At 52.2% G+C, this 13,145-nt stretch overlaps 1 protein-coding gene and 1 long non-coding RNA gene across 6 annotated transcripts in view; both read right to left on the minus strand.

Moving 5' to 3' along the window:
* SLC5A4 (solute carrier family 5 member 4) overlaps positions 1 to 13,145 on the minus strand; it is a 136,600-nt gene that overhangs the window by 111,260 nt on the left and 12,195 nt on the right. The gene's annotated exons all lie outside the window — the stretch shown is intronic.
* Positions 1 to 13,145, minus strand: part of LOC107985561 (uncharacterized) — a 29,247-nt gene that overhangs the window by 12,587 nt on the left and 3,515 nt on the right. The window contains exon 1 of one of the 2 annotated variants that reach the window (XR_001755499.2): positions 3,811 to 4,069. The exons of the other annotated variant lie outside the window; for it this stretch is intronic. This is a non-coding gene — a long non-coding RNA (uncharacterized LOC107985561). Of the gene's footprint in view, positions 1 to 3,810; positions 4,070 to 13,145 lie in introns of those variants that run through there. 2 annotated transcript variants of the gene reach the window in all.

Raw genomic sequence — 13,145 nt, forward strand, 5'->3', positions numbered from 1 at the left:
CTGGTGTGTGTGTGTTGGGGGCTCTGGTGTGTGTGTGTGTTGGGGGCTCTGGTGTGTGTGTTGGAGGCTCTGGTGTGTGTGTTGGAGGCTCTGGTGTGTGTGTTGGGGGCTCTGGTGTGTGTGTGTTGGGGGCTCTGGTGTGTGTGTGTTGGAGGCTCTGGTGTGTATGTGTTGGGAGGCTCTGGTGTGTGTGTTGGGGGCTCTGGTGTGTGTGTTGGGGGCTCTGGTGTGTGTGTGTTGGGAGGCTCTGGTGTGTGTGTTGGGGGCTCTGGTGTGTGTGTTGGGGGCTCTGGTGTCTGTGTGTTGGGGGCTCTGGTCTGTGTGTGTTGGGGGCTCTAGAGTGTGTGTGTTGGAGGCTCTGGTGTGTGTGTGGGGGGCTGTGGTATGTGTGTTGGAGGCTCTGATGTGTCAGGGGGGCTCTGTGCGTATTGGGGACTCTGTTGTGTGTGTGTTGGAGGGCTTTGGTATGTGTGTTGGGCCCTGTGTGTATTGCGGGCTCTGGTGTATATGTTGGGGTCTCTGTGTTGGGGGGCTCTGGTGTGTGTGTTGGGGGGCTCTGGTGTATATGTTGGGGGCTCTGTTGGGGGCTCTGGTGTGTGTGTTGGGGGGCTCTGGTGTATATGTTGGGGGCTCTGTGTTGGGGACTGGTGTGTGTTGGGGGCTCTGTGTATTGGGGCTCTGGTGTGTTGGGGGGCTCTGGTGTATATGTTGGGGACTCTGGAGGCTCTGGGGTGTGTGTGTGTGTGTGTTGGAGGCTCCACTGTGTGTTGGCTCTGGTGTGTATGTGTTGGGGGCTGTGTGTGTCTGTGTTGGGGGCTCTGGTGTGTATGTTTTGGGCTCTGTGTGTGTTGGGGGCTGTGGTGTGTGTGTGTGTGTAGGAAACTGTTGTGTCAGGAAGCTCTGGTGTGTGTGTTGGGGGCTCTGTATTGGGGCTCTGGTGTGTGTGTTAGGGGGCTCTGGTGTGTGTGTTGGGGGCTCTGTGTGTATTGGGGGCTCTGGTGTGTATGTTGGGGGCTCGTGTGTGTGTTGGAAGCTCTGGTGTATGTGTTGGGGGCTCTGGTGTGTGTGTTGGGGGCTCTGGTGTGTGTTTTGGGAGGCTCTGGTGTGTGTGTGTGTGTTGGGGGCTCTGGTGTGTAGGTGTTGGAGGGTCTGCTGTGTAGGAGTGTTGGGGGCTCTCCTGTGTGTGTGTGTGTTGGAGGCCTCTGGTGTGTATGTGTTGGAGGCTCTGGTGTGTGTGTGTTGGGGGCACTGGTGTGTGTGTTGGGGGCTCTGGTGTGTGTGTTGGGGGCTCTGGTGTGTGTGTGTGTTGGAGGCTCTGGTGTGTGTGTGTTGGAGGCTCTGGTGTGTATGTGTTGAAGGCTCTGGTGTGTGTGTGTTGGAGGCTCTTGTGTGTGTTCGAGGCTCTGGTGTGTCTGTGTGTTGGAGGCTCTGGTGTGTGTGTTGGGGGGCTCTGGTGTATGTGTTGGGGGCTCTGGTGTGTGTATTGGGGGCTGTGTGTTGGGGGCTGTGTGTGTGTTGGGGCACCAAGGCACATTGTAGGTGCTCTGGGAGAGCCTCTCCCTGGCTGTTTGACTTTGGACACGTGCTTTGGCCTCTCTGAGCCTGAGTTTCCAGCAAAATGGCAAGAAAAACGCCGCTGGCGAGATGGCGGCACGGGGGAAATGGCCGTGCTCTGCAAACTCCCTCGCGCCCCAGTCAGCTCCCCTGGTCTCCAGGAAATACCAAAATAAAGATCCTGCTTGAGGACAATGAGAATTATTTTGTGCTTTATAGGGCGCCGCATAATCTAAATAATGACACACGGAAACTTTGTTTCCTTCAGGAAGAAGCTGGCGGGCAACCCAGCTATAGTAAAAGGCAAGCGGTGGGGTGGAGATGACAAAGCTATTTGGTGCCAGCTATGCCCAGCGGCTTCTGGCAGACAGGACAGTGCCTGCTGTGTTGCTGGAGCCCACGGATTGTACCTGGGATGGGGACGTGGGCATGGGAAGCAAGGGACATCGCAGGAGCGACAGGCGGAGGGCAGGACACGCAGCCCACATCCGAGGCCAGATCCCATGCCCCTCGGCTGCCCTGATCCTCTCGCGGCTTCCAGACCCCATTCGCCCTGGGGTTCCTCCTGCCACGGGTGGGGGCTGCTCCTCCCCAGGCCCATTGCAGTGGTCTCTCGGGGCATCTCAAACTCAAGACACTCCATGCTGCTGAGCCCAAAGCCACATCTGCCCCAAGGTCCCCATCTTGGAAAATCTCCCAGGCTGCTCAGCCCAGGGGCCCAGACATCCTCCTTGGACCCCCACCTCCTTCTCAGCCCCCACCCCAGGCCCTGGCCAATCCCATGGACTCCACTCCCTGGTGCCGGCCCCTCCCCACCACCACCCTCGGCCAAGCCGCAGACATGGCTGCAGCTCGTGAGACAGTGGCAGCCTCTCCGGTGGACTCCCAGCTCCCTTCCCAAAGGCAAGTGCCTCCTGTCACTCTCCTCGAGGGCACCCTTGTCCCTGGACTAAGAAGCCCACATCTCACCATGGCCCTGCACAGTCAGACCTACTTGCATCTGCCACCCGTCCCCTCCTGCACTTCCTCCCCCACACTCATGCCACCTGACTGCCCTTCAGATGGATGGATGTGCGGCTGTCTCTGCCTCAGTGCCTCTGCACATGCTATTTCCAGTGCCTGGACCACTTACTTCCCACTTCCTCCCCTGGTCTCTTCCAACTCCGACAGGCTCATTCCTTTCCATCCTACAGATCCCAGCTGCCCCGAGAGGCAGGGCCAGGCCATGGAAAGCTGTGGATGCCCAGCTGAGGGCCTGTCCTTATCCTGCGGGCCTTCTGGGAGTCTCTGAGGGGCTGGGAGCCTCTGCAGAGACAGGGCCGGAGGCTGCCCTGGCGTTGGGAGTGGGGTCAACAGGGAGCTGTGTCAGTTTTAGAGGCTTCCATTATTCACACCTCACTTGTAGCCTGCCTTCCTGTCGCTTTACCCTCCTGACGTTCAGACACTTCTCGGGGAACTTAGGGACTTTATACATCCCCATGGTAAAGGTTAATTTTTAATACTGCTTTGGTAAATATTTGATGCCACTGCTTTAACGGGAGGATGCATTAGACATTAAATACCACAAAGTGCTCTGAGATGCTGTCCTTTTCATCGGCAGCCTCTGTCCGTAACTCCTGCCTCCCACTCTGCGAAAATAAAGACTCTTTCTCCTTTGCCTCCTGCTATGAATTTTTCAAAGCGTTTTTCAAATCCATTCTTACCCCTGATCAGCATCTCCATTAGCCAGATAGAAAGTCAAAGAGGTTTTAAGCTGAGAGATGGCTTAGAAGCCTCAGTCCCTTCCCTCATCTTACACAAGGGGAAAGTGAGGCCGAGGAGGGACGTGGCCTGCCCGAGGTTAAACAGTGAGTCTGTGGGTGTAGGAGTGGAATGAGGTGCCGGGACTCCCAGCCCAGGACTCTGCTCTAGCACTGGCACCCCCCCCCCAGAAGACTCAGACCAGTCCTGCCCTCACCCAGTCCAGTGGAAACAGGCCACGGGGCTCTCTGACTGTGCTGGAAGTGGGCAGCAGGCAGAGGGGTCTTTTAGAGGATGGGGAGAGGCCTCCGGAAGGAGCATGACCTCAGTGAGGTTTTGAGGAATGAGTAGGAGCTCGCCAAGGGGCCAGAGTGGGGAAACCTGTGAGGTGAATGGGTGTAGGTAAGCACCTCAGGGCAGGGATGGGGACTGATCCACTCTGTATCCCCAGTCCTGGCCTGGGGCCCAGACTTAGCCCATGCTTTTTAATCCTTATGAAATGAATGTGTCCTTTACCTCCAAGGCTGTGTGCACTGTGGCCCTGATCATCGGCTCCTGGTCCCACAGGCCCTGGTGCCCTTGCATCTCCGTGCTTCCTTCAGCCCGGGCTCTGACCTGACCAGCTTCCATGCATTCTGCATTCCTGGCCCGCCCCTGATGCTGGGGCTGCTTCCCCAACGTCCTTTCTACTGCCCAGGACAGTAAACATCCACAATACACACACGTACACCATGCCACACAGACACCCACAATACACATAAACACACACACCATGCCACACAGATCCACACAATATCACACACACACACCACATAGACCCTCACAATATACACACACACACCACAGACACCCACAATACACATACACACACACCCCATGCCACACACCATGCTGCATACCCACAACATACACATAGACACACGTCACACACCATGCTGCAGACCCACAATATACACACACACCATGCAACACAGACACACTACACACACTACACCATGCCAGATACACCATGCACACACACACACCATGCCACAGACTCACACAATATACACACACTATGCCAGACAACACACACACACACATCACATAGACCCACACAATATACATATACACACCATGCCAGACAACACACACACCCCATGCCACACAGACATCACACAATGCACACACCATGCCACACAGACTCCTGCTCACCTGTGACCTGTCCTAGCCCCTCAGGACCCACCTCTGCCCTCTCCACCTCTCCCCTGGTGCTGGCGTCCCATGGTGGTAACAATGCACGACCCTGTGCCCAGCCCCGCCCCTCCAGCACTGTCCTTCCTGGTCAGCAGCAACACCACGTGTCTCTTGGTTCAGACCCTCGAGTTGTCCTCGTCCTCAGTGTGCCCCTCCAACATCCAATTCCTCTGTGGCTCCTGCCTGCACTACCTCCAAAATACTGCCTTGTGTCCCCCCACTGCCTGGGGCACAGTGATGGCCTCCCCCCGGGCCTCCCTGCCTCCATTCCTGCTGGTTGGCTGCTGTGAGCTGTGTGGTAGTGGCCTCTCACCAAAACCCCCACCTGACCAAGTCCCCGTGCTTCGCTGGCTCCATGTTTCCCTTAAACGAACGGAACCACTCTCCCATCTCGACAACCCTGCAGACTGGAGTCCCGAAGCTCCCTCCCTCTTGGATGCTGTCAACGGTGAGATGTCCCAGGGATTGAATCATGGCTTTGGGGAGGACGTCAGCGGCACTCCAGTAAGCGTACACACTGATCGGGGGACACATCTGGGCTTGAGGCCCTGAAGGGTGACAAGGACATGTCCCTTAGAAACAAGTGACAACAGTATTGGTCAGAGTCCAGGCAGGGACACAGCAGCCATGGCTTCATGGAATAGGGCATTTATGATAAGGACTTGAGTTTCCACACTTGTAGGAGGAGCTGGGCAGTGAAGGTCCAGAAGGGACCGTGGAGGCTCAGAGAAGGGACGCTCCGCAGTGCTGGGCAGGGAGAGAGCGGGGCCAGCTCGCATGGAGGCTGAAGCCAGGCCCATCCTGCCTCCAAGAGATCACAGGGAGGGTCACAGGGTCTGCCAGCCTAGGGTAGGTGGTCGGGAAGGAGAGCCAGACACAGATGGAAAACCCAAGGACACTGGGAGCCCTGGGACACCCCTGCAGCTGTGCTTCTCTGGCTCTGCCCAGTGAGACCACCAGCACCAGTGACAGCCGCTTCCGCCTCCCACGTCTCAGACAGCTCAAGCCAGCTCACCGGGAAGCAGATCCTGGGATACAACGAGCCCAGAGCAACCAGGCTGGCAACAGAACCACCTAGCACAGTATCTCCTCCTTCTTGTCTGGCTAGACAAGCTGTGAGTAAGCCCTGAGCAACCTCAAATGAGGGGTAAGTGAAGGAGGCACGCTTGGCAGGGACCTCTTTCCACACACAGAGTGGACAGAGACAAGAAAAGAGGATAGACTTTGGGGGTTCTTCCTATGAGCGGAGTACGGAGCTAGGCCCTCCCCACATCCCCTCTGATTTCATCCCCTTGCCAGGTGGAGCTCATTTGCTCTCTGTGCCTACATCCACATGGCAGCCCAGAGAGGTGATGCAACTTGCCCAAGGACACACAGCTGGGCAGCACGGAGTCCGGTCCAAGCCCAGCCCAGGCGGCCCCAGAGCCCATTGTTCCTGCCTGCCCCCAGCTGCAGCACCCAGCGATTCCTGAAGCCGTAGGTCCCAGCACACAGGGTGTGACAGACTCAATCCCAGAGCTCACGGCTGAAGGGGTCAGGTGACAAGTCCCCCTCTCCCCCAGCACCTCTGGGACCCCTTAGAAGCTACAGGAAGTCCGATCTGGACGGTGCTTAGGAGGAGCAGGGAGCGAGCATCCTCCAGCCCACGGGCAAGCCTCGGTTTCCATCATTGTCACGGGAGCCGAAATGCCCGTGTTGGGAGACGTCTGCAGTTCCAACAAGCATCTATTCTTGGAAGCAGGTATTTTAGCAGTTAAGACCAGGGGTGAAATAGTGGGTGAAATAAAGTAGAATCCATAGTCCTCCCTGACCCAGGACAAAGGAAATAAATTCCTTATCCACTTGCCCCACCCTGCAGTGCCTGATCTGGGAGCTGGGCCCATTAAGGGTCACTGAACTAAATTGGTTTTTGGGAACATTACTGCCACCGGCCCAACCACACTCCTCTCTGTAGGATCTCGCGTCTTCCACATTACTCTTGCTGCAGCTCAGAGGGTGATTAAGTGGAATTCCTGTCAAATCAACATAAAGGAGCAGCCTCTGAGCTGGAGGCGTATTCACGAGCCCCCAGATTCACCTGGGCCTTTGTGGAAGCGTCTTTTTGTTAATTACTCACGCAAGCTGGCATCTTTGTTTGCACAGTAGTTGCTGCGTTAAGGCATTTTAATTAAGATTCCAAACTAAAGATTCCAAACTGGCTGGGTGGAGCCACGCGGGTCTCTTCCGGGGCAGGATTATAGGAGCCACCTCCCAGGAGGGGGCTTGTAAGATGCCCGCTGCAGGCAGCACGTCCCCAGAAACAGGTGTGCCATGTTGCCTGTTAGGAGCTTGGGCTCCTAATGGGAGCTGTTTCCTTTCTCCTGACAGCTGCACCCTGGGCCCAGAGACACAAAATCTCCATCTAAACTCCAAATAGCTGTGTTAGGTCTAGTTCATTCTAGAAGTGCCTCTTCAAAATGACTTTTCCAAAACCTTCCCTAAGGAATATTCACCCTTTGGCTGAAGACATTGATTTTTCCAAGCAAAGCCAGGGCAGGGTCAGAATGGATTTTCTACACATCACTGGACAGAGTTCCTTAAGGGCAGGGGCCTGGCCTTTTTTGTCTTTCTGTTCCCAGAACTTAACACGCGGCATGGCCTACGGCCAGCCTTCAATAAATGCTTGCTGAATAAATGAGTAAATTAATCTTGTCTGGGCTGCATCCATACAATGAACACGGATTGTTCCAGAGAAAGAAAAGCAGGACAGGGCTGGAAGCTTTGCAAAGAGGATGCCTAAGACGTTTCCTTGGGGGGACTAAAGACCCAGATGTGTGGCACGGAGGTCAGATCAGTCTTTCGGCCTCCTCATCTGCTTTCTTTGCCTGGGGAAGGGCCAGGAGCTGCAAAGGGCTGATGAATTGGCCTCCCAGGACCACCTTGCCTCTTGTCCTGGCTATCATCGCCCTGGGTGCCTGTCTGTGGGTGTCCCTGGAAACATTAGGTTGCTGTTTTCCTGTGCACATAAGAAACACATTGGCTGTAATCCCAGAACTCTGGGAGGCCAAGGCAGGCGGATTGCCTGGGCTTAGGAGTTCAGGACCAGCCTGGGCAACGTGGCAAAACTCTGTCTCTACTAAAAATACAGAAAGTTAGCTGGGTGTGGTGACACAGGTCTGTAGTCCCAGCTACTCAGGAGGCTAATTCAAGAGAATTGCTTGAACCCCGGAGGTGGAGGTTGCAGTGAGCTGAGATCGCACCACGGCACTCCAGCCTGGGCAACAGAACAAGACTGTCTCCAAAAAGAAAAAAAAGAAAAGAAAAAAGAAACACATTGGCTTCCCACAGTAGTGTTCACAGACCACTGGAGCAAGTGAGATTATGTGAGGAGATAAATACACTAGCATTTGAACACTTATGCACAGGGGCAAGCTGGTCAACATTTAACAACCTGTTCTCCAGAGGGAGAAAACTCTGATTTGTAGCACGTGCTGTCAATTTCCCGAGCGTAAATACTGGTGCTGTCACTGAATCAAAGACAGGAAGAGATACAAGTAGTCACCACTTAATAAATTTCCACCATACAGACACAACAGATGCAAATAACCTTGCCAGCACAGATGATAGGTAAATGTAGCAAAAGAACTAAGAAGTGATACATTTTGAGTATGTATTACCTCTGTTCAATACAATGTATTTAATTGCATGTTTATATAATTTGCAATAGTGGCTGTGTTTAACAACAGGCTCCCAAAATTCCTACAGCTTGAACTCTCTTGAGTCAGTGTGATGCAGCCCCATCTCATACTGGATATGTTTACTTGTTTTAATGCAAATTAGGAAAAATACAACTCTTAAATCAGCGATGATATTGCTTAGAGCAAATCTGAGTTTTCTACAAATTTGACTTGATTTCAAGTCAGTTAAAAATGTATTAAGTAAACAGAATGAGGGATGTACACAGACAAGAACACCAAGGAACTGAAACGTGGGGGATAAATGTTGCTTCATGAAAATGGCTTCAAACCTCAACTGTCCTGGGGGTGGAGTAAAATAAATGGGCAACTCACGAGAGGAAATACAGTTAACAAATGAAAGTGGTTTATCTCAAAAACCATCAAAGAAATGCAAACAGGCTGGACGCGGTGCCTCACGCCTGTAGTTCTAGCACTTTGGGAGGCCGAGGCAGGTGGATTGCTTGAGGTCAGGAGTTCGGAGACCAGCCTGGCTGACACAGTGAACCTCCCCCACCACCCACCCTGTCTCCACTAAAAATACAAAAATTAGCCAGGCGTGGTGGTGGGCGCCTGTAATGCCAGCTACTCGGGAAGCCAAGAAAGGAGAATCACTTGAACCTGGGAGGCAGAGAGAGGCTGTAGTGAGCCAAGATCACACCACTGCACTCCAGCCTGGGCGACAGAATGAGACTCCATCTCAAGAAATGCAAACTGTATAGAAATGGGGGCACCCCATACTGGAGAGGGTGCCCCGAATCCAGTGCCCTCAAAAGCTGCCTCACTCCACCAGCCCTTTGGGAATGAGGCTGGTGCTGAAATCGAGACCCATAAAACTGTCACCCCCTTGGACTCAGGAATCTCCCTGCCTGGCATCTATCCAGAGGAAATCATTCCAGAAAAGGAAAGGCCACAAACTCACAAAGGTGTCTGCTGTTTTCTGGAGTATGTCTCCTCCTCCTGCCCCCAGGAGAGCTGGGATTGGTGTTGTCATCGTATTACTAAAAAGATTACATGCAGTATAAATGCCCCGCTGTAGGGAAATGACTGCATGAATCCCACACATGGAATCCGGACAACTCGGTGGCCGCTGAAATGGTATTTAGAAAGGTCAGGTAAAATCGCAGGGTCATCGCTGATTCAATAGGAGAATAAAATCAAGGCACATCATTAGAGACGCGCAAAAGCAGGTGTGCATTAGAAGGGAGAAAAACGCAAAGCAGTCGTAGCTGCGTGTGAGTGGGATCCGTAGCGGCTTTTCTTTTCCTATTTTTTACTCTTCAAATAATGGTCGCAACAATCATCACAGTTAGCATTTCCTGAGGCATCTGCCACAGGCCGGGCTCTGTTCCAGTCCTTACAATCATCTCACAACCTAAAGGCTACTTGTGTCCATTGTACTGATGGGAACACTGAGACTCAGGAGAGCTACTGGCTTACCTGCAGTTGCCCACTGGCCCGTAGACAGGATCTGAACTCAGCTCTGATTCGAAGACTACGCAGCTCACCCCTCTGCGGGTTTGCTAGAGTAGAGTACAGCTAGGAGGTGTTCGACGTAAACTCATGAAAACTAAGCGTGGGTGTTGTGTTTTTACCTTCTGTTCCGCCGGGCCCTCCTCTTGTGGGGAGTGGTTTGCAGAGGGAGGTGGGGAGCCACCAGGTGGAAGAGATGAGTACACCTGCCGCCTCTGGAAAGATTCAAGGCTGCGAAAGACCTTCACAAATGGTGCAGGGGAAAAGACAAACCCCGAGAGCAAAACCAACCATGCACCCCAACAAAGACTGGCACCCTCACCTCGTTTAAACCCCTGCCTGGTAGCCCACGAAGGGGCCAATGGCAGATCAGAAGCCAGGCTGAGTTTCAGGAGGCTCCTGGACCCAGACCAGGACTTGTTTCACTGACACCTGCGGGCCAGATCTCAGGTGCTTTCGGGGACCCCCGAGGTTCTGCCCTGGGGATGGGTGAGACCTGCCTTGCACAGAGAACCCACAACCACAGGGCAGCTATGCACCCAGCATAGAGTGGCATCATCTCAGGTTTAGCTCTCACAGGGAGAGAAGTAAAGGCAGAGAAGTTGCTCTTCCCAGTAGAAGGATGTCGGCTTTGGAGTTCACCAGACCTTAGTTCCAATTCCAGCTCAGCTGCTGTGCGTTTCCCAGGAATCTCTCTCCGAGCCTCCTCGGTGTCTCCTTCATAAAATGAGGCTCGGGATGGCCAAGCTGCAGTGCAGCTGGGGAGGCTAAATGGCACAATTTGTTACAGCTGCTTAGCTCAGTGAGCCCTCAACAAATGGGAGCTACTGTTACTAACGGTACTAATGCAGTTCATTGATCGGACACTGTCTAGGTGCCTTCTGTGCACAAGGCACTGGGCAGGAAGATTCATTCATGCAACATGGATGTACTGAGCACCTACTATGTGTCAGGCACTGTTCTATATGCTGGGGTCACAGCTGAGCACAAGAAACACCAATCCCAACTCTCTTGGGGTTTCCATCCAGCAGAGGAGACAGGCACAAAGCCACAAAGCAAACGTTATGTCAGGCGGCGACGCACGTGACAAGGCAGCTGAAGGAGGACAAAGGGAGAGTGACGGGAGTAGGTGGCTGCTTCTATTTTGTAAACCTTGGTCAGAGAAGGCCCCTTTGATCGGGTGACCCTGAGCAGGGGCTGTGGAAGGGAGGCATGAGCCCTGCTGGTATCCCGGAGGGGAGAGGTCTGGTTGGAGGAACAGCAGCGGGGCTGGTGCGGCTGCAGCCAAGTGCCAGTGTCGGGAGATGAGGACAGAGGGACAGTGGGGTGGGGTGGGGTCAGATCATGTTGTTGGCCAAGGAAAGCATTTTGATTCCTAAGTGCAAAGGAGACCATCGGCACGTCTTGACTTAATGTTTTTAAAAGATCGCCCTGCCACTGTCGGGGACACAGGCTGGCATCAGGGAGACATGCGGAGGCGGCTGCCTCCATCCTGGCCAAAGACGACGGACAAGGAGGGCTGGTCTCAGTGGAGGGGTGGGTGCGGATGGATTCTGGCTTCATTTTCAAGGTATTGCTGATGGAACACGTGAAACAGGAAAGAAAGAGAGGAGCCAATGAGATGGTAGGAGGCAGCGGGGACGTGGATGTGCCAGTCTCCCACGTCTATGGGGTATCCAAGAGCTGCTCTTGAGGACTCAGGCTCTGCAATGAACAGCTAGTCTGGATTCAAGGGAGAGAGACCAGGGGAGAAAGACTGGGAGGTGGACAGGATTGGAGCTGTGGGTCTGGGTGGGGGTCCCCAGGGAGTGGGTGGAGATGAGAGAGAAGTTAAAGGGAAGAGCCCTGGTCTCTAAGATCAGGGAGATGAGGATGGAGCCGCAAAGAGGAGCAAGAAGGGCGGCCGTGAGGGGCCAGGAGCCTGTGGGGCAGAGGACCCAGGGCTCCCCAGTTCCCCTCAGCCCCTCCCTCCTCCGAGGCTCTGCCTATGCTGCCCTCTCTGCCGGGATGACCTTTCCCCACTTTGGTGAACTCCTAGCTACTCATCCACTGAAACTCTTTGTGTTGGCTCCTCCTCCCCTGGCTGACCAGTGCTTAGTCCAGTGGACCGTGAATCCTGGGACAGCAGAGCACTGTCTTCAACAGAGCCGTGAACAGCGGGGAAGGCTCACGGACGTGACGCCGGAGAGCATCCTTCAAAACCTACCAAATGCTTCTTGCCACAACTGAGTAATTCTGAAGTCCTATCCGTGGCCTAAATGGCCCCTTATGTTCTGCCCCTGCCAACCTCTTCATTTCCTACACTTCTTCTGCTAATGCACTCTGCCTAACGCTGCCTTTCTTGCTGTTCTCCAAATACACCCAGCGTGTTTTCAACTCATGCCCTTTTTACATTTCACTCCCTCCACCTGAGTGAACCATGAAACTATGTGAGTAAAGAGCATATTCAGGTCTCTGCTTAAATTGCCTCTCGTTAGAGAGATCTCCCTGGATCGCTTCATTTTCTCCCCGACATTTAACACTACTTGAAATTTTATTGTTATTACAAAAGCATTTTATTTTCTTTGTCTCCCCAGGCAGACCGTAAGCTCTGTTCACCAATGTATCACCAGTGGCTAGTACAGTCCCTGGTATATGATACAAACTCAAACCCTATGTGCTAAATAAATGGTAGCAGGAATTAGCATAAAATAAAACTGAAAATGGCTAATGCTACACAAATGGCTAATGCTACACATTATAACTAAAACATGAAGTTTGCTTTAGATGTAAGAACTGACTTGAGAACCTCTTCCTTTTGATTTCAAAGAACACAAAAAAATTTGACCCAGGAAAAATTAGACCTGGTAGAAACAACACCAAGTAACATTGTAGAAGCCTAAAACCACACAGAATAAAATCTGTAACTAATAATGATGGAAGAAGCAAATCTTGACAATAATCAAGATTTGTAATAACTAATCTATGTGAATGAGACCTGGTAGATATAACTATAGAGAGAAAAAAACCACTAGCAGGAGCTGAAATCCACAGACTTTAAGATAAACAAAAACAACCCAAAATTTCTTTGTGAAAGTTAATAATCTTAATAAATTAAAAATCAAAATAGAAGTACTTAGAATTTACTTCTACTTCATATAAAATTAATTTAAAAATTAAGCTTATTTAAGCAATACTTAGAAGTAATTTACTTCTACTTCATATGAAATTAATTTAAAATTAAGCTTATTTAATAGTGTCCACTGGAAAATACTTTCCCAATAAAAGTTATTCAATATTATAATAATTCTGATTCAAATCTGGATTCCCAAACATGCCAGCTAACATTCTGGAGAGGAAAACACCCATCAGAACAAAATGGCATATTCAAAATTAGAGTCAAAAAATATTCACTTCAATTAATACAGAGCATGAGAAAACTAGCTTTTT

This window comes from Homo sapiens, chromosome 22 (assembly GCF_000001405.40).
Source record: "Homo sapiens chromosome 22, GRCh38.p14 Primary Assembly".
Taxonomy (NCBI): Eukaryota; Metazoa; Chordata; class Mammalia; order Primates; family Hominidae; genus Homo; species Homo sapiens.